This window comes from Homo sapiens, chromosome 15 (genome assembly GCF_000001405.40).
Source record: "Homo sapiens chromosome 15, GRCh38.p14 Primary Assembly".
In the NCBI taxonomy this organism is placed as follows: Eukaryota; Metazoa; Chordata; class Mammalia; order Primates; family Hominidae; genus Homo; species Homo sapiens.
In genome coordinates, this window is record NC_000015.10 from 82,558,689 (window position 1) to 82,578,438 (window position 19,750).

Below are 19,750 nucleotides of genomic sequence, written 5' to 3' on the forward strand. Positions count from 1 at the left end.
TGGCATTTAGGGTGGAGTATCAACTATTTCATGACATTGTTAGGACAGCTCAATAATTAGATACCAGATGGAAAGAGCTCAGCACAGTAGCACCCAGCACACAATAAATATTTAAATATGAAACAAAAAAAGAGCAACGTTTTCCACACTTGGCCTTGGGGAACCTAAGCAAAGCACACCCTCTATCTATGAGAATAAGGAATAAGAGGGCTTTGCCATGGAGCTATGGGTGTGCTAAATCTAGGAAAGAAGCCTTAATTTGAAGTTTTTTTTTTTTTTCATCTGAAGAATGAGAACATTCACCTCAAAATGGCTGAGGTAAAACCAAAATCATATGTGTAAGTGCTGAATAACTGGCTGTGATTGGCCCCACTTCCGCCCTGACTAGCAATGAAATGAAACACAGGTCACCCAGAGCTGGTTTCCTCCCAGGCCTCTAAGTCAGTTTGAATGCTTGTCTGGAGCTGGAGTCCCAAGAAGCAGGAATAAACCTCTCAAGACTGAAATCAAAATCAATGCATGCTTTCAGGGTACGAGACACACATGCCATTGATGGAACATATACACAAGATCCCAAACATCTGTTAATATGGGACCAGACCAGCCCACGCTCCTTTAGGTATATGACCTCCCCTTTTGGATAAGACATGGTAGGTGTATCCTTAACATTTAACACAGGGGAAACTGTAGATATATCTATTTATCTAGTTATTATTTTGTAGTAAAAATAGCTTTAATTTTTAAAGAGACTGTCATAATACTGTTTTCCAAGTAGATGGAACTATATACCATTTTACATTCCCACCGGCAGTGATGAGAGTTTCAGTCCCTCTACAACCTGGCCAACACCTGGTTTGGTCAATCTTTTTATATCTAGCCAGTCTAATATGTATGTATGTTGTGGGATGTGGGTGGGGTGGAGCCACAGCACATCCAGCAAGGAGTTAGTTTAGCATTTTGTTTTTCAAGGAAACATTCCTAACTTTGAAATTGCCTTTTGAAGCAGTTTTCAAAGCTCTAAAATTTAACTGTATGCTAAAACTAAGTGTCTCAAAATGCTTGGATTGATAACCATCAGAAATAATCCCTGACAAACTTCTCAAATAATCCTTTGGTCGGGTGTGGTGGCTCACGCCTGTAATCCCAGCACTTTGGGAGGTTGAGACAGGTAGATCACCTGAGGTCAGGAGTTTGAAACCAGCCTGCCTAACATGGCGAAACCCCGTCTCTACTGAAAATACAAAAATTAGCCAGGCGTGAAAGTGCACGCCTGTAATCCCAGCTACTCGGGAAGCTGAGGCACAAGAATTGCTTGAACCCAGGAGGCAGAGGTTGCAGTGAGCCGAGATTGCGCCACTACACTCCAGCCTGGGTGATAGAGCAAGACTCTGAAAAAAAAAAGTTCCTTGACAAACTCCTGCCTGATAGAAATCCAAAATCAAAGCCTGTAGAGTCCATGCCCTGAGAAGGCAGAATATGTGAAGATTTTATTCAAGGTTCCACCCTAATGCTGCAAAGCCTGGCAAAGAGGCACTGTGAAAAATCAACAGATCACATGCACTGGTCTTAAAAGTGGTACCAATGCCCTGGAGGGCCTCATCCTTTTCCACATTTCACAAAAACAAGTTAGGGTGATGAACAGTGAGGTAACAATTCAAATCACAAAGAACTCTGACCACTAGGTTAAATAGTTTTTATCTTATTGTCATTTGTTTTTTTTTTTTTTTTTGAGACAGGGCCTAGTTCTGTTGCCCAGGCTGGAGTGCAGTGGCTCACTTCAACCTCAATCTTCCTGGGCTCAAGCGATCTTCCCACCTCAGCCTCTAGAACAGCTGGGACTACAGGCATGTGATATCTACCACATCTGGCTGATTTAAAAAAAATTTTTAGTAGAGGTAGCATCTATGTTGCCCAGGCTGGTCTCGAACTCCTGAGCTCAAGCAATCCTCTTACCTCAGCCTCACAAACTCCTAGGATTACAGGCATGAGCCACTGCACCCAGCTTGATTTTATCTTAAGGGTAACTGAGAGACACGGAAAAGGAGATCTGCAGAGCTGTTGTGTGGATAGCAAAGAAGGCTGACCAGGGAAACTAAGGAAAAGCACCAGTAGGAACCAGTGTCCAGCAAAGAGGAAAACTAAGTTGGACTTAAAGGATTTTCTCCAGCAGAGCTCAGATACCTGGATGGACACTGAAGCCATACAGAGCTATGATTTTGTTCCCCCAAGGGGGTATGAAGGAATAAATGTGACAACAGAATTGATGATAACAGCAACAAAGGAAATGAAGAATGGGTCGTGCATTATAGGCTAAAGACAGAACAAAGTCAATAGATTAGGAGCAAATAAATGGAAAACCAGTGATTTCAATAGGCTGATAGCTATAAGAGGAATGAGGGTGGCAGACAATATAAACACGAAGAGGTGGGACATTGAAGATTAAGAGCTCTGAGGATGGCAAGGTCCAGAGTATGGTAGAGGTGGCTGACTTAGAATGTGAGAAGTCTGAAATATTAGATAAGTCATTCATGTGGACACTAAAAAGACCGATGGTGATAACTGGGCCTGGAGTTAAACAATGAGATTTTCAGAGACCTGGGACAATGAGTAGGCTCTACTTGGCATAGCAGCATCTTAAAGGAAAAGTCTTCAGCTAAAGCAGAAAATGGGGGGAGCATTCACCAGTAAAAAAAAGAAAGCCAGTTTGTTAACCCTGGAAAAGGGGAGTTTCAAGTGGCACAGCAGAGAGCTCTGAGAGTTGTCAAGGGAGAAACAGCATAAAGCAGAACGCCAGAAAAAATACTCAAGAGGGGATGCTGCCCCAAAGGCTTGTATCTGAAAACACCAAAGATGGCAAGTATGGGCTCTGGTAACTGTCCTCACCCAAGGTTTTTTTTAAAAGGTATTTTGGAAAGAGTCAAAAAAGCAACATGGTAAGCACTACAGACCCCTTTCCTCATTCACATCATTTGTATTCACTATTGTGTTGGTACACCTGTTTTACCAGCCACAAACCCATCTACCTCTGCTAACTTGAAAGTTCTCTACTGTGCCTACAAAGGTATCTTGAGGCTTTGTCAAATTCCTGTACAAAGCTAGGAATTATCTCTGTAGTGATCCTCTAATCTGGCAATAAACCTAAGTAGAAAATGGCATGAAAACCCACGCTGGTCACTAACGAACTCTACTTCGTTAAGTGCTCACAGTTCATGGTCATTCATCTGTTCCGCAATCTGGACCAGGTTCAGTTAAGCTTCTAACAACTTACTGAACGTCTAGCACATGTCAAACACTGTGTTAGAAGCACTTTAGGTAAACAGTCTTCACCAAATCCTAAGAAGTGGCTGTTACTACTGCATCTTAACAAAAGGAAACCAAGACTTGGGGCAGTCAGTTTGTAAAAGTAACAGCTAATGAGTGACAGAGACTGGATGCTTTCCCACTCCAAGTACCATTCACTAGCTACTTTTTTTTTTTTTTTTAATCTTTAGGACTTCACATCTGTTTGTCTTCACATTCCTCAGCACTTTTCCTTTGTCTGAATCCTGTAAGACCATCAACTACAGACTACTGATCTTCCCTACCAGAAGTCCCTGCTTTAGGACCTAGAGTATTTGGGTCTTAAATCTATCTAGGGCCTTGCCACTACAGGAACTCATTAAAAATGCATTTTGGGTCCCACCCCAGACCTGAATCAGAATCTGCATTTTTAAAAGATCCCCAGGAGATGTGTATACACATTAAGTTTTAGAAGCACTGATCCATACAAACCCGAGGCTTGCTACTTCAAATTCCTAATCAATTGCCTTATCATACCCAAACATCTTTCATATATAATTATTTCCTCTGACTTAAAGACTGGAGGTTATGGCCAAGTGCAGTGGTTCACGCCTGTAATACCAGTACCTTGGGGGACTGAGGCAGGAGGACTGCTTGAGACCAGGAGTTCAAGACCACCCTGGACAACATAGTAAGGCCTGTCTCTAAAAAAAATAAATCAGCCAGGCATTATGGCATGCACTGATAGTCCCAGTTACTCAGGAGGCTGAGGCAGGAGGATCACTTGAGCCTAAGAGGTTGAGGCTGCAGTGGGCCATGATCGTGCCACTGCACTCCAGACTGGGCAACAGGGCAAAATCCTGTCTCAAAAAAAAAAAAAAGACTGGAGGTTATAATTTAAATACAGTTCTCACACTAAAATGGTAAATACTTAAGAGAAAAAAAAGGCATCAGATAAAGAAATCAACAAGGCTATATAGGACATTTACTTAAGAGTTCCTTCTCTCTGAAAACACTGGGTGGGAGTGGAGGACAACACAGAGAGGCAAGACAGACACAGTAACCATGAACAAATAAGAATATAAAAAAAGAATGGTAAGGATTATCATAGTTTCAGGAAAAGTGATGGCTAGAACAAGCTGATCACTGTGAAAAACATTCAAGACAACCCAAGGGACTTTGTAAGCTCACACGGAGCAAAACCAAAAGGAGCAAGGGCCTACTTAGAGCAGAAAGAGAAAAATGTTATTAAGGATTTAAGGACATTACTGGGTCACTTGACAAAACTGGAATATGAATGACAGTTTAATCAAAGTAGTGTTATCAACTTTAAATTGACTAAAGTTAACTGTTTTGTTACATATGAATGTATGTAAGATCATCTCTATTCTTTTTTTTTTTTTTTTTTTTTTTTGAGCAAGGGTCTCCCTCTGTAACCCAGGCTAGAGCGCAGGTGCACAATTACAGCTCACTGCAGTCTCAACCTCCCACTTCAGCCTCCAAAGTAGCTAGCGGCATGCCACCATGTCTGACTAATTTTTTTTTTTTTTTTTTGGTAGAGGCAGGATCTCACTCTGTTGCCCAGGCTGGTCTTGAACTCCTGGGCTCAAGCAATCCTCCTGCCTCAGCCTCCCAAAGTACTCAGGTCACAGGTGTGAGCCTCCGTGCCTGGGCCAATTATCTCTCCTCTTAATGATTCAGAAAACAATTATGTATTGATACATGGAGAGAGAATGTGCAAATGATAAAGCAAATGGGGTAAAATGAACACGAACAATAGGAGGTTCTGGATAAAAAGGATTACAAATATTCTTTGTATAATTTTATTTGTATAACTTCTATAAATTTGAAATTATTTCCATTTTTTTTTAATGACAGGAAGAAAAACAAGTCAATTCCCATTTGGCTTTCTTTGCCTCTTTCAAGGTAACTTATCTAATCAGCAGAGGGAAATCAAGCACAAGTAATAGGAACTAGGATCCCAGAGGATAAGACAGTAATTGAGTACTTTTGGAGTCTCTATTAGAAGAAATAATCTTTTAAACATGCTTTTTAAAGTCTCAAAAAAATCTGCATAGATATTTGCAGGCCCACATGTGTAAAAAGTTGTGCCTTCTCAACCAAGCATACCAAGACCAATCTTTACCATCCTACTCCAATAGCAATTAGCTCAACATCTGGCAAAAAGCAGGTGAACAATGACTGCTGAATTCTACTGAAAGACAGAGAGTACGTATTCCATAGAGCCAGTACGCTAAGGCCCTACCCTTTTCTATCAAGGATATTCAATTTAAGGACACAATGGTTTTTTTTGTTTTTTTGTTTTGTTTTTTTTTGAGACGGAGTCTCGCTCTGTTGCCCAGGCTGGAGTGCGGTGGCGTGATCTCAGCTCACTGCAAGCTCTGCCTCCCGGGTTCACGCCATTCTCCTGCCTCAGCCTCCCGAGTAGCTGGGACTACAGGCACCTGCCACCACACCCGGCTAATTTTGTGTGTGTGTGTGTTTTTAGCAGAGATGGGGTTTCACCGTGTTAGCCAGGATGGTCTTGATCTCCTGACCTTGTGATCCACCCGCCTCAGCCTCCCAAAGGGCTGGAATTACAGGCGTGAGCCACTGCGCCCAGCCTAAGGACACAATGTTGACTTAGAGTGTAATACAGATTTAGGGGAATAAACCTTAACTCATCCCTACCCAGCCCATCGCCAAAACAGAGGTTTAAAAACCAGTGACTCACCGCATCACATCTGCGACAATACTTCTTCCCTGAGTCTCAATTTCTTCAAAGAGAAAAAGGTTGAAGAAAGCTCCTCTGCTTGAGGAGGGGCAGGGTGGAAATCACTCTGTCCTAATCAACCCTCCCCAGACTCTACTGGGATCTTCAGGGCCACTGCAATACACTCCTACATTCAAGTACAGGAGCAAGAAAGAGTGTCTCACTGAATTATATACCAACCACATAGAAAAACGGGGAAAGGACTTGGATTGATGGCTCAGAAAGGGGCAATGCCATCCTAGAGAATAGGATCAGGGTGCCCCAGAATTAACACGTGGGATGTCAGCATCTCCATGCATCAGTTTCCTGCAAATATTAAATCAGAAGGGATATACTGTAAATTTGACTAGAAGATACCAAGAAGACAAGAGGCCTAGAACTTGCCAGCTGGTTTGATATTTCCTTCAACCCACAGAACAAGTGAATTTTGTGGAAACTGCCACCCATGGTCAGATGCCCTAGAGTGACCTAATTGTACCTCTATAGGGTCTGGCCAGGCAGTTCTCTGAGTGTCTACAGATCAAAGGAAGGAAAGCAGCAAAGACAATGGAAAGAAAGCAGCAAAGCAGCAAAGACAAAGGGAAGTGGGGGGACCTCATTTCAAGAAAGAAAACCTGTCTTGCTCCCAGCTCATGAGACCATACCTGCCCTATGTAAGGTTGCTGAGTACGCAGCACCGATTTCCACCAGCTGGGAATCAGAAGGAAAGGAGCAAAATAGCTAGCGTTAGACTGTTCCCATTTATATTCAAAGCCACGAGCATACCTAACTGGAAAGGCATTCTCTTTAAGCCACACAAACTAAAATCCAGTGGAAATGACAGGTCCCTTATAATGCAGGCCAGTGTCTCATCTCAAAGTCCACTCCCCATCATGGGGCACACAACTTCATAATTCCAAATGTCAAGTATTAACCTAGATGGATTAGAGGAGGGGGAGGGGTGGTGAGAAGTCCTAGAGTCAATCTCCAATAACGGCCAAGGCCCTGACCTCTTTGCTCTGTTCTTTCCTGGCCTCCAGAACACAAGGGATCATGGAAAGTCTGAGGTTTACCAAGTGCCTCCAGCTCTGGTGTCCAAGTGTCCAGCAAATTCCTATCTTCTAAAAATGGGTAAGACATTGTGCTCTTCCTAGAACAGACGTACCCATCCCCATTCACATGCTGGCAGGAAATCAGCTACAGACATCTCTCAGGGAAGTCATGGGGAGGAGAGGACCTGGCAGAGGGTTCCAGTTCATTAATGCTACCTCAGAGGGTATAAGAGACCAAATCAGCAGTGATATTTTTAGACTGATTGTTAATTTTCTCTACTTTCACCCTTCTATGCCAGCTCCTGTCGGTTTTACAGCTGAGTCACTGTTCAAATTTTCGGAAGCCTTCCCCAAGAGTACAAAGGCACCTGGAGTGTGATGGCAGCATTAGCAATGGCAACAAGAGCCTGGCACTGAATGCCTGCATTATAAGACCATCTGAGCTTGAGCTTAGCTGAAGGAGAGACTAGCCCCAAGACATGATGGTCAGATATTTGTTATCTAATGGGAATAGTCTAATGGGGGAAAAAATCTAACGGGGAAAATCCAGACCAGGAGCCATTATTTCTAGCCTGTGATATAAGGCCGTATACCTGGAACCCTTCTTCCCTATCACCATCCTTGGTTCTAGGTTGCTTACTCAGGATCTCTCTGAAGGAATAGGAAGGGGGGAGAGTAGCATTCATTCCATGTATGAAAACAGACCACTCTGCCTGTGACCCCAAATCTGCAACTCTATACCATATCTCTACTGTGGCGGTAAACAGAGTGTGGACTTCCCCCCGACTGTGGATCCCACAAGTTCAAGTTAGTGACAAACACAGCCCTTCTCCCCAGTATAACTCCCAGTCTTGATCATCAGGCAAGTTCCATTACCTGTAGAAAAGACATATTCATGTCCCTTGTAAGGTCAGCACACATCCTGCCCCTGTCACTAACCACCTCAACTTCTTTCTCACCTAGGAGGCCTCCCTGGCCACACTGCTTCCCAGGTTCTCCCTCCTCTCTGCACTGAAAGCTTTCCCAAATAGACTACTTGACTCCACAATACAGCTCATGCTCCACTGTATGATGAAAACTTTGTATAATTACATCACCGTCCCCTAGAAGCTACAGGGCCCAAGATACTGATCTTTGAAGAATCTGTCCATCCAGCTAAATCAACACAAGCAGGAGGCAGAAGAATGGGAGAGACCTTGTCTGAACTCTGCAGTTAAAAAACAACCAGGATAAACACAGTGGCTCAGCACTCATCATTCATTCAAAAAATATGTATTAGACAGCCATTAGCCAAGCACTGTTGTACTGCTGGGAATATAGTATTGGAGAACTGGGAGTTGAGGAAGATTTACAAGAGACCTGGTTGGGCCGAGGAAGTCCATGTTCCACATAAGAGAGACCTAATCCCGTTCTGAATGTCGCCTCAGAATGGTTGTTTGGAAGAAGCTTCAGATGAAAATTGCTTAAGACTCCCCACTCATCTTAGGCTGATGTAGCCTGCAGATCAATGGGGAGCCTGCAAGTGACACAGCACAGGGAACATTCCATTCACTGATTAGCAGTTAGGGTAGAAAACCAGAGTGTGGGCCAGGCACGGTGGCTCACATCTGTAATCCCAGCATTTTGGGAGTCCGAGGCGGGTGGATCACAAGGTCAGGAGTTCAAGACCCACCTGGCCAAGATGGTGAAACCCCGTCTCTACTTTAAAAAAAAAAATTAGCTCGGTGTGGTGGTGGGCACCTCTAATCCCAGCTACTCAGGAGGCTGAGGCAGAGGATTGCTTGAACCCGGGAGGCAGAGGTTGCAGTGAGCCAAGATCGCACCACTGTACTCCAGCTTGGTCGACAGAGTGAGACTCCATCTCAAAAAAAAAAAGAAAAGAAAAGAAAACCAGAGTGTGAACAGGTTAGTCCTCAAGAGACTTCTAAAGGGGAGTGGCAAAAAACAGACATGTCCTCTGGCAACCTTAGACTGCACATCTGGTCTGCCCACTGGGCTTCTGTACAAGGCATCATTAAGAGAGTCCTTGTTTCCAGGTCCCCCACAGTAGTCTCAGTCACCTCACTCTTCTGCTGCATAATGCTGCACACAAAAGAGTCGCAAGGGGGAAGGCAGGAAGACAAATCCAGCGGGTGGTACAGCTGATAAGCTGAGACTCAGGGATCAAGATGGGGCTGGAACTGTCTACCATATGCCCTCACCTTCAGAGATCTCATCAAGGGAGCACATCACCTCTAGCTGAATAGCCCCTATAGTAGTATATGGTTACTTTAAGTTTTCTCACCCAATATGTTAGAGTTCTGCTAACAGGACCACAGGTGTAACAGGAAGCATATGAATTTTGTAACCAGAGACCTGGGTTAGAATTCTGAGCCTTCCAGGAGTTGTGTCACTTTGGGCACTTTGTAACCTCCATGAGCCTATTTCCTCATCTGTACAAGCATTAAAATCATGTGATGTACTTAGCACAAAAATTAGTCGATAAATGGTGGTTATTAGTCACTCCATGCCCCATTCCAGGATACTGAGGACAGTTTCCACAGCCCTTCTGTTCCACTACAGATCTTAAGACATTGCAAGCAGGACAAGGGTAGCCCTGGACATGAGAAAGGGTAGCACTGGGGTATGAGAAAAACGCACTTATAACACTCATCTTGCCCCCAAAGTCTTCCTCCCCATCAAGGGATAGTGCCTCAGGGTAGGCACAGTCTAGAAGAGAAGGACCCCACAAAGTGTTACATCCAAGCCCATGCAGGCCTTGCAGGTACAATTCTCAAAAACAGACTCTATCCCAGGGTCTTCTTGCAGGACTCTGAGGCCAAGGAAATCTAGATAGCAGAAGTACTCTGGCCCCTGGAGAATGGTATCCATGTACCAGCCTAAAGCTAAGAATCCAATGAAAGGTTGTTACAATGAAGAAAATCCTTAGGGGAAAAAATGAAAGCCCCTATCATAGCAGATGCAGCACTCGGTATACCTCCTCATTTGTTTTCCTTTGATAGCCACGGAGATTCTTAAAGGTAACAATTTTATCTTAATCAATGTTGTACTTCCAGTGCTGCACACAACGAATGCTCGACGTTTGCCAGATGAATTTAGCCAACAGCCCTACTATCTCCAACCTTGCTCATTACTTAAGAGTGGTAGAAGATGGTCAGATGTGATGCCATAGCTGCCTTGGGCAATATATCACCAAGCAGAGCTCAAGGAATAAGCTTGCATCTTGGTCTCTACACAGAGACAACAGTGTAACAGGGTATCTGCAAGGATAACTCCGAAAATGCCCAGAGCTGTTGAAAGCCTCCTCCCTCACTGAAGCAACTGAGCTAGCTGGTTTTCAGACGGAAAGGCAGTGTAGGCACTGGAATGTGGGCTGCATGTTCCCGCATTGCTGGTGAGGGTGCACGATCTGGCACTGCAGCTGGCTGGTGGGAGGGCTGCATCCTACTCCAGGAGGTAGTACCCTCATGTGGGCTTTCCAAGAAGGCCCAGAGCCCAGGGAAAGAAGAGCAATGGCTGTCACCACAGCTCCAAAACCAAAGGCAACATGACGATTAGGGATGGGTGTGTCCTCAACCCTCAGAAAGGAAAACATACCCACACTAACCTGCCTACACAGCCAGATCATACTGCTGGGGCAACTCTGGTTCTGGTCCTTATGAATTCTGAGGCTCAGGCTGCAGTCCCTCCCTGGTCGACAAAATCATGTAATATTTATCACTAAAGTGCTTGGGATGGAAAGTGGAAAAGAAAAACCATTTCTATTTCAGAGACAAACAGCTACAAGCACAGGCCTTTCAGGTGGTGGAGAAGCTGTGGATATTATGACTAGATCCAAGCTACTTTTAATAGCTCAATTTCATAGTAACTTTCAGACCAAGCTCTCCAAGCCCCCAGTGGGGCACACCTGCATTTCTATGGGCCCAATGTTATAATGTATTTCAGAAAGAGCATTGTAGCTTAGAGAATGAGAGCCAAAGAAGGGCTATACTTCAACCTGATGCCAATGAAAGACAGTGCCTTGGTCAAACACTGATCACCCACAGACAGGTGCCCATCTCCTGTGTGAGTTCTTCTATCTTTTGCTCAGATACGGTGGAAGTGAGGACAGGGGAGGCTGGCTTCATAGGCCCCCAAGGTTGGCGTCAAGAACACACAAAACAAAGTACCGTGGTCTCCAGGCATAGAATACCAAACAGTGATACCATACTTCCTTGCCCAGGGGAACAGGGTAGTTGCTGACCTTTCTGGAAAAACCTGAGTCAGCAGAAGGCCAGTACTTCAAGAAACCCTATCTTAACCCAGAGATAGTTACTTAAGGTAAAGCTCTCCCCATCCACATCCACATAAAACAATTTCAATACCCCTCTCCTAAATGGGGTTTTACCAAAACAACTGGGCATTAAAATGCCTAACAGACACAACGGGCCCAGGCTCTGCAAAGCATTCTAAAAAAAGACCTGCGCCAAACAGGGTGGAGGCCACAGAAATCAACAAGACAGTACCTTGCTGCCATGGCTGCCGGTTCCTGGACCAGGGAGGGAAGGGAAGGACAGCAGACTTGGTGTTTCCCACTGTCAGTACCAACAGCGAATGGCTGTACCACCCCCTCCCCCCCGCCCCTTACCACCTTTTCATTTTCCTAGAGTATCTGCTGCCAATACCTCTTTATTATAATTTACATAAAGCAAAATATGTAGCTTGTAAGTATACCTGTAGTGTTTAAGTTCACATTTCTTCCTGAATACTCCAAGACTTGTATTTAGGCAACCCTCCTCCTTGTACCACAAGAGGGAAATAAACAGGTAACAGAAGGTATAAGCAGAAGCAATTTAAGGGGGGGCTGCCAAGAAGTCCCTTTAGTTTGTCCCCACTGAACCCTACCAAGAAGACAAGGGATCCTAAAGGGGAGTGGCTCTTCTTTTATCCAGCTGGTCACTCTCAACACAAAGGGAAAAAAAAAAAAGATTCTATAGCTGGGAGTTACCCCACCCCACTCACCCTGCCTACCCCTTTCCAGGATCAATGCTCTGAACCCTATGTTAAGTCAATTCCAAATATCTCAGTGCATTATCCAGCCTCATCTGAGGTTAAAATCCTTCCCTTGCCATGATTCAGAGACCACTCACTCTTCATATAACTCCCTGGTTTTTAAAACCACTGAGTAATTCTGGTCATCCAGTAATCAACCCCTTAACTCCCCTCCCCCACCTAAAAGTGTTTTGCTTCATCATCTCCAAGACAGGCCTGGGCACCAGGGGGTTAGCTGGATCTTTTCTGCACAAGGCCACCACGCCTTGGGGACCCTCCTCAGGGCCACTCCAGGTGCAGACTAACAACTCCAGGGAATTTATCAGGGTAAGTGGAAGAGCCATGCCTGCCTTTACGTGGAGCCATCTGTCCTGCCACACTCACAGCTTGCATTTCCATCTCTTGCAAAACAGCTCCATGTTGTATGTGTGTATGGTGGGGAGTGATGCAAAGGGGAACAGAACAACTGTTGCTGTGGATATCTTCGTTCACCACCCCCATGCATCCCCTTACCCCAGCCAACTCATTCTCTGGCACTCACCCGAGTGTGTGCTGCTCTGGGCTGAGGAATCTGAGTCCTGGGTGCTCCAGGGTCGGTCCCAGCCTGTCAGACTGAGGGACTGCAGGCCAAGGCACAAGTCATTTGCATCTGGGAGGCCACGGGAAGATTCTTGCGCAGAGGTTGGGAAAAGCATCCTGCTTGTAACTGTTTCTTCAGAGTCCTGGAAGTCTGTTTTGGAAAGGAGCACAGCAGAAACCTCAGAGTTAAGGGCTGTTTTCCCCAATATTATCAACAGTAAATATTATTAATAATAGTTTCCCCAGGCTCACAGGCCAGACATCCAAGCTGGCTGGATGCTGCAGCCGCTGCCTCTGCACTTTTGGGGACGCTGGGGCAAGAGCAGTTGCCATACAGGCCCCCTCCCCTCACACACACACCCCTATCCCGTCTGCATTACAGACTGGGCCAGCATGTGATCAGGCTGCTGATGCTTCCCGCTGCCAGTGACATCAGCCGGCTGAGCCGTGCAATAGAGAGCGGCATCATCCCTCACAGAACGGGGGAGGAGCAGGAGGGGACGACAGGGAGGAGACTTGCCTCCCAGGGAAAGACAGCACAACAGCTACTTGGAATAGTCCCGGTGCAGTGCCGTTAAGTCTGGGTTGCAAGGCAGCGCCCTCCGGTCTCCAGCAATGGTGGCCAAGCAGCCCTCACGCACGACTGAAGTCCTCTCCGCCGACAGCAGAGCCAAAGCAGCCGACTGCCTGCTCGTGTGGCTCTGCCCTCCTGCCCCTCCCTTTCCCTCCCCCTGCTCTCCACCCCCAAACCCAAAAACACTCTAGTCCTGGACTCTCTCCAGCTGCTGGCTCAAGCCCTGGCTTTGCAGCCCAATGCAAAGCTTCACAGTCCTGCTAGCAAAAATCTGTGCTCCAAGTGGCCCCTGAGCAGCACCCTGACACAGCAGTGTTTACCACTGAGGAACAAGATAACCTTCAGAAAAATACTGTACACTTGGACCCTGGGGAACAACACCTGGTGTTCCAGGCTTGTCTAGAGCAGCTTATCACAGAGAAAGGGGGTAAGCGTTGGCAGAGTGGGGGAGAGTCACTGGGCTGTTCCAGGTACACCTCAAAGGACATGGCCCACAACCCACATGCCAGAGTGAGACCTGCCCTGACTAGGATAATCCCTGTGCCCAGGTTCCCTCATCCCAACAAGATGGGTATTAGTCATGAACAGATACAGCGGCTCAGCTCCTCCCCTCCCTCCTGCAACTGTAGGCACAGACTGAGGAAACACTCTCGAAGCAGCATCTGACAAACCAAGAGAAACAGTCTCTGAAGTATCGTTACGCCCTATTAGAAACACCAAACTCTGAAACCTAATCACCTAGCTCTGTCAATATTGCTTCTCTTGCCCTTCCAGGAGCCCTGAGCATGATACAGGGCAGCCGTGAGGGCCACTGATGCCTCTAACATCCAGGCCCTCTCTCAGAGGTGCTGCACAAGACCAATGCTTATTTCTGTGGCCACTCACAGCTCCAGCAACAAAGACTAAGAAAATTCAGCTTCTGGAGCTTCCGCCATTTCCTCTTTGCCATCTCCTCCCACATCGGTCCTTTTCCAACATGAGCCCAGGGTCACTGGGCTTCTTCCTCATAAAGGAGGGTAGGGCAACAGGCCCAGACTCACCAGGCAGGCTGCTCAAACCTGGACTCAGCTGGTAGCACTCCACCTGCTTGTTCTCCCCTGTTGCAAGGAGAAGCAAGCAGATACGGGAAGCATGCCCACCTGGGACCTCCCATGGCAGGGTCGAGAGAATAATGCTGCCACAGAAATAGCTGTTCAGAACTTCCTGCAGTACACCCTGTGTCCACAGGCACTCAGGCATAGCCTAGAAGGGAAAATTATCAGTCTCCTTCCTTTGGAGATTTTTTTTTTTTTTTAAAGCTTTGCTGCTGTGTCATCCATCCACGTTATTCCTCCTGGCTGTAGATATTCTGCTTGCTCCCTATCTGTGTTTGTCAAAGCCTTGTTCATCATGGCAAAGGCCTAGCAAAAATCACCCATACTGGTGCTGCCCCTACCCCTGACTACTCCCCTCCTGCTTCTCTATGTTCACCCTTCCCTCAAGCTAAGGATATACTTTAGACTTCACCCATACATATTAGTTACCAAAACACAATGCTTCCTTCAAAAACATCCATATTTAAGTATCTATTCTCCCCTACACCAAATATCTATATAATCCCCATACCCCAATCTGAGGGCATCTATGTCTAGAAGCAGCCATTTTCTACCCATTAAAATCAGGGTGACTGTGCATATGATTACCCCCATCCCTCACGAGGAGAGAATCAACTATGCTCTTGCTACTCAAAATACAGTGTGGCAGACCAGCAATATGAGCATCACCAGGAGCTTGTTATAAATACTGAGTCTCAGGCCCCACCCAAGACCGACAGAATTGAGATCTGCATTTTAACAAGATCCCCAGTTAATATATATGTATGCAAAAAAAGTTTGAGCAGTCGGGTGTGGTGGCTCATGCCTATAATCCCAGAACTTTGGGAAGATTGCTTGAGCCCAGGAGTTCAAGGCAGCAGTGAAAGCCATGACTGCACCACTGTACTCCAGCCTGGGCGACAAAGTAGTTCCCATCTCAAAAGTTTGAACAGTACTGATGTGTACAACTAACACAATCTTCCCACCCCAAGCTGAAAGACCCCAGGCCTGAGCAACAGGTCTGTTAAACCCATTTAAGACCAAATGGCTACATGCATCCAGGAGCTTGGAGTTCTACACACAGTATAATTCTACCCTCACCCCTACAACCCCCACCACAGACCTCACCTTCCTCCTTATCCAGACATTCCTCAATCTGTTGTTTCTTCTAGATAAAGATTTTCACTACCATTGTAGGATTTCTTCACTAGCTCCAACTCAATGCAGGCCATACCTGTTAAAACCATTAGTGTGGCAGGCTGGAAAAATCAACAGCTTTAGATGACTGACAGACCTTGCTCTGCTCACCAGGTCTGCCACTGTGTCTTTCTGAGAATCTTTTCTTCTTTAAAGATGCAACAGTAGCCATCTTTTAGGTGTTTTGTGAGGATTAAAGAAAATATTTGAGGCCAGGTGCAGTGGCTCAAGTCTGTAATCCCAGCACTTTGGGAGGCTGAGGCAGGCAGATCGCTTGAGGTCAGGAGCTCAAGACCAGTCTGGCCAACGTGGTGAAAACCTGTCTCTACTAAAAATACAAAAAACATTAGCCAGGCACAGTGGCACACGCCTGCAGTCCCAGCTACTTAGGAGGCTGAGGCAGGAGAATTGCTTGAGCCCAGGAAGGGGAGAGGTTGCAGTGAGCCAAGATCGTGCCACTGCACTCCAGCCTGGGCAACAGAGCTAGACTCGGTCTCAAAAAAAAAAAAAAAAAAAAAAAAAAAAATCATAAACCATGTTCATGTACTGGAAGACTCAACAGCGCTAAAAAGTGATACCCACAAAATTAATATACAGATGTTCCTCAACTACAGTGGGGTTATGGTCTGATAAACCCATTGTAAGTTGAAAATATTATAAACGGAAAATGCATTTAAATACATCTAATTTACTGCACATTATAGCTTAGCCTAGCATACCTTAACTGTGCTCAGAAAACTGACACTAGCCTACAGTAGGGCAAAATAATTTAACACAAAACTTGTTTTATAATAAAGTGATGAACACCTCATGTAATTTATTGAATACTGTAATGAAAATAAAAACAGAAAGGTCGTATGGATACTCAAAGTACAATTTCAACTGAATGCGTATCATTTTCACACCATCATCATGTCAAAAACCAAAGTTGAACCAACCTAAGTCTGGGGCCATCTGCACATCTGTGTAATCCCAATATACCAGACTTAAAGCAATTCATTGGGGAAAAACTTTTTAACAAATGGCACTGGAACACCATATGGGGAGGAGGGAATAAACTCTGACCTATATACAAACATTAATTTAGTAGATATCAGAGACGTAAAAGTGAAAGCTAAGTATAAACTACAAAGCCTCTCTAAGAACCTATCTTTGTAACTTGGTAGGGGAGGGGGAGTACATAGAAGCAAGGGTTTCTTTATGTAGAGTACAGAAAGCAATGATCATGGAGAAAGTTGATAAGCTGACCTTATCACAACGAAAAACTTCTGCTCATCAAGATACCACTAAGAAAATAATTACGCAAGCCACAATATGTGAGAAAATACCCACAACCATATCTGACAAATCAGTAAAAGAAATCTTAACTGAAAAGTAACGAAATCTCAATTGTTAAAAGGCACAAAATCTGAAAAGCACTTCACAAGGATTATATAAATGGCCAATAAGAACTTCAAAAAGTGCTCAAAATCATTAGTCAAAGAAATCCAAGTTAAAACCACAGTGAGACACTACTGCACACCTACTAGATGGCTAAAATTTAAAAGACTGTACCACATCTTGCCAACATTTGATGTTGTCAATCAAAGCTTCATTACCGTAAATGGTACATCCACCTTGTACTTATGAAAACGCTTATATATTTTCTTCCTTTTCAATGGGAGAAAAGGTACATCCACTTTGAAAAATGGTCTGCCCATTTCTTACACAACTAACACATATTATCTTATGACCCAGAAATTCTACTCCTAGGAATTCAACTAAGAGGAGTAAAAGTGTATGTCTAATAAAACACCTGTGCAAGAATAGTCATAGCAGCTTTATTCATAATCACCCAAACGTGGATTCAGTCCATGTGAGAATCAACAGAACAAAATGTAGTACATGCATATACCATACTATTATTCAGCAATAAAAAGGAATAATACAGGCAACAATAAGATAATTATGGTGAGTGGAAAAAGCCGTACATAAGTTACATATGTATATAATTCCACTTATTTGAATTTTTAGAGCAGACAAAACTAATAAATGGTGAAAAAAATCAGGTGGTTGCCTCTGGCAGGAAGTAGGCAGGTAGATTAGGAAGGGGTACAAGGAAAGTAGCTGAGGTGATGCTAACAGTGTGTATATTTTGATGAGAGTGAGGATACATCAGTCAGAATGGATCTAATGACACATTTAGAATTTGTGCTCTTCACTGCATATAAATTTTACCTCAAAAAAGTTATAAACAAATATAGTATTGAATACTAGTTAATGATATGTATGGTGAAGGATTTTGGGGTAAACTGTAGCAATGTCTACAATTTAAAGATATGTGATAAGGCAAATATGACAAGATGTTCACTGTTCAATCTAGGTGGTATTACAGGTGTTCACTTTGTAATTCTTTTAGCTTTTATGTATGCTTGAAAATGTTACTAAAATGTTGAGAAAAAAATAAAGTCAGACTTTTTCTGAAAAAATGAAAGTCTGACTGAACTAATTGATTTGACAATAAAAACTGACTCCAGGCTGGGTGTGGTGGCTCATACGTGTAGTCCCAGCACTTTGTGAGGCCAACGCAGGTGGATAGCTTGAGCCAATGAGTTTGAGACCAGCCTGGGCAACATGGCAAAACCCCGTCTGTAATAAAAATACAAAAAATCAGCCGGGCATGGTGGGTGCACACTTGTAGTCACAGCTACTTGGGTGGCTGAGGTGGAAGGATCGCTTGAGCCTAGGAGGCAGAGGATGCAGTGAGCTGAGACCACGCCACTGCACTCCAGCCTGGGTGACAGAGTGAGACCCCGTCTCCAAAAACAGGACTCCATTAAATGAGGCATTATAGTAGAAATTTTTTTCTGTAAATAAAGTTAAATCTATAGGCCCATGGCTTTGACAAAACATACTTAAAGCAAATGGTAAGATTAAATCATTTTTAAATAGCATGTTGGCAAAGGTGTGTTTTGTTTTGTTTTTGCAGCTGAGGCTATAGGCACACCACTATGTCCAACTATTTTTATTGTTTTGTAGAGACAGAGTCTCACTATGTTGGCCAGGCTGGTCTCGAACTCCTGGGCTCAAGGGATCCTCCCACCCCAGGCTCTCAAAGTGCTGGGATTACATGTGTGAGCCACTGTGCCCGACTGCAAAGGTGTATTTTTAAACTAACTTAAAAAATTTTTTTTTAATTTCCTACAAATGTTGCACAAAAACTATTTTAAGTTTTCTCTATCTTTTAAGTATACTGAATTAAGGTGTGTCTAAGTGAAGGACAGACATAGTAGTAATCTCAAATCTGTTTTTATTTTTTGAGATGGATTTTTAGAAACAGAATCTTGCTCTGTCAGGCGGGAATGCAGTGGCATAAACACAATTCACTGCAGACTAGACTTCCAGGTTTAAGAGATTTTCCTACCTCAGCCTCCCAAGTAGCTGGGACTACAGGTGCATGCCACCATACCTGGCTAATTTTTTTGGGAAGTATATTTTTGTAAAGACAGGGTCTTGCTATGTTGCCCAAGCTGTTCTCAGACTCTTGAGCTCAAGTGATCTGCCTGCCCCAGCCTCACAAAGTGCTGGGATTACAGGTGTGAGCCACTGCATTCAGCCTCATCTGAAAAATATAGCATTGATAAAGCTATATTGGGCCAGGCACGGTGGCTCACGCCTGTAATCCCAGCACTTTGGGAGGCCGAGGCAGGTGGATCACGAGGTCAGGAGATCGAGACCATCCTGGCTAACACGGTGAAACCCCGTCTCTAATAAAAATACAAAAAATTAGCCGGGCATGGTGGCAGGTGCCTGCAGTCCCAGCTAATCGGGAGGCTGAGGCAGAAGAATGGCGTGAACCCAGGAGGCGGAGTTTGCAGTGAGCCGAGATCGTGCCACTGCACTCCAGCCTGGGCAACAGAGCGAGACTCCGTCTCAAAAAAAAATAAAAAATAAAAAAGCTACATTGATAAAGCATTATTGGTATAGTTAGGAAACTGAGTAATTCCATGTCTGGTATGACTAGGTAAAACGTCTTTTCACAAATTAGCTGGTTTTCCGTTCTTTCTTTTCAACCAATATGAAGGAGGAATGAACGCAACTATCAGCCAGTAGATGACTAAAAATAATAATACATGACTAATTTTTTGCACAGAACTAAATCAAAGAATTGTATGAACTAGTTCATTCCCCATCTACTTATTTTATGTGAACAAGTTTACTCAGGGCACAAACC

At 44.4% G+C, this 19,750-nt stretch overlaps 1 protein-coding gene across 35 annotated transcripts in view; it reads right to left on the reverse strand.

The window, feature by feature from the left end:
* The window catches only part of CPEB1 (cytoplasmic polyadenylation element binding protein 1), a 105,595-nt gene that overhangs the window by 15,488 nt on the left and 70,357 nt on the right, over positions 1–19,750 (reverse strand). For 26 of the 35 annotated variants that reach the window (NM_001365245.1, NM_001365246.1, NM_001365240.1 and 23 more), the window contains one exon: positions 12,656–12,844. In NM_001365245.1, the coding sequence (NP_001352174.1) occupies positions 12,656–12,809 (154 nt within the window). In that variant the 5' untranslated portion in view covers positions 12,810–12,844. Of the gene's footprint in view, positions 1–12,655; positions 13,379–19,750 lie in introns of those variants that run through there. The other 9 variants (NM_001387077.1, NM_001365248.1, NM_001365250.1 and 6 more) reach the window with 5 other exon arrangements.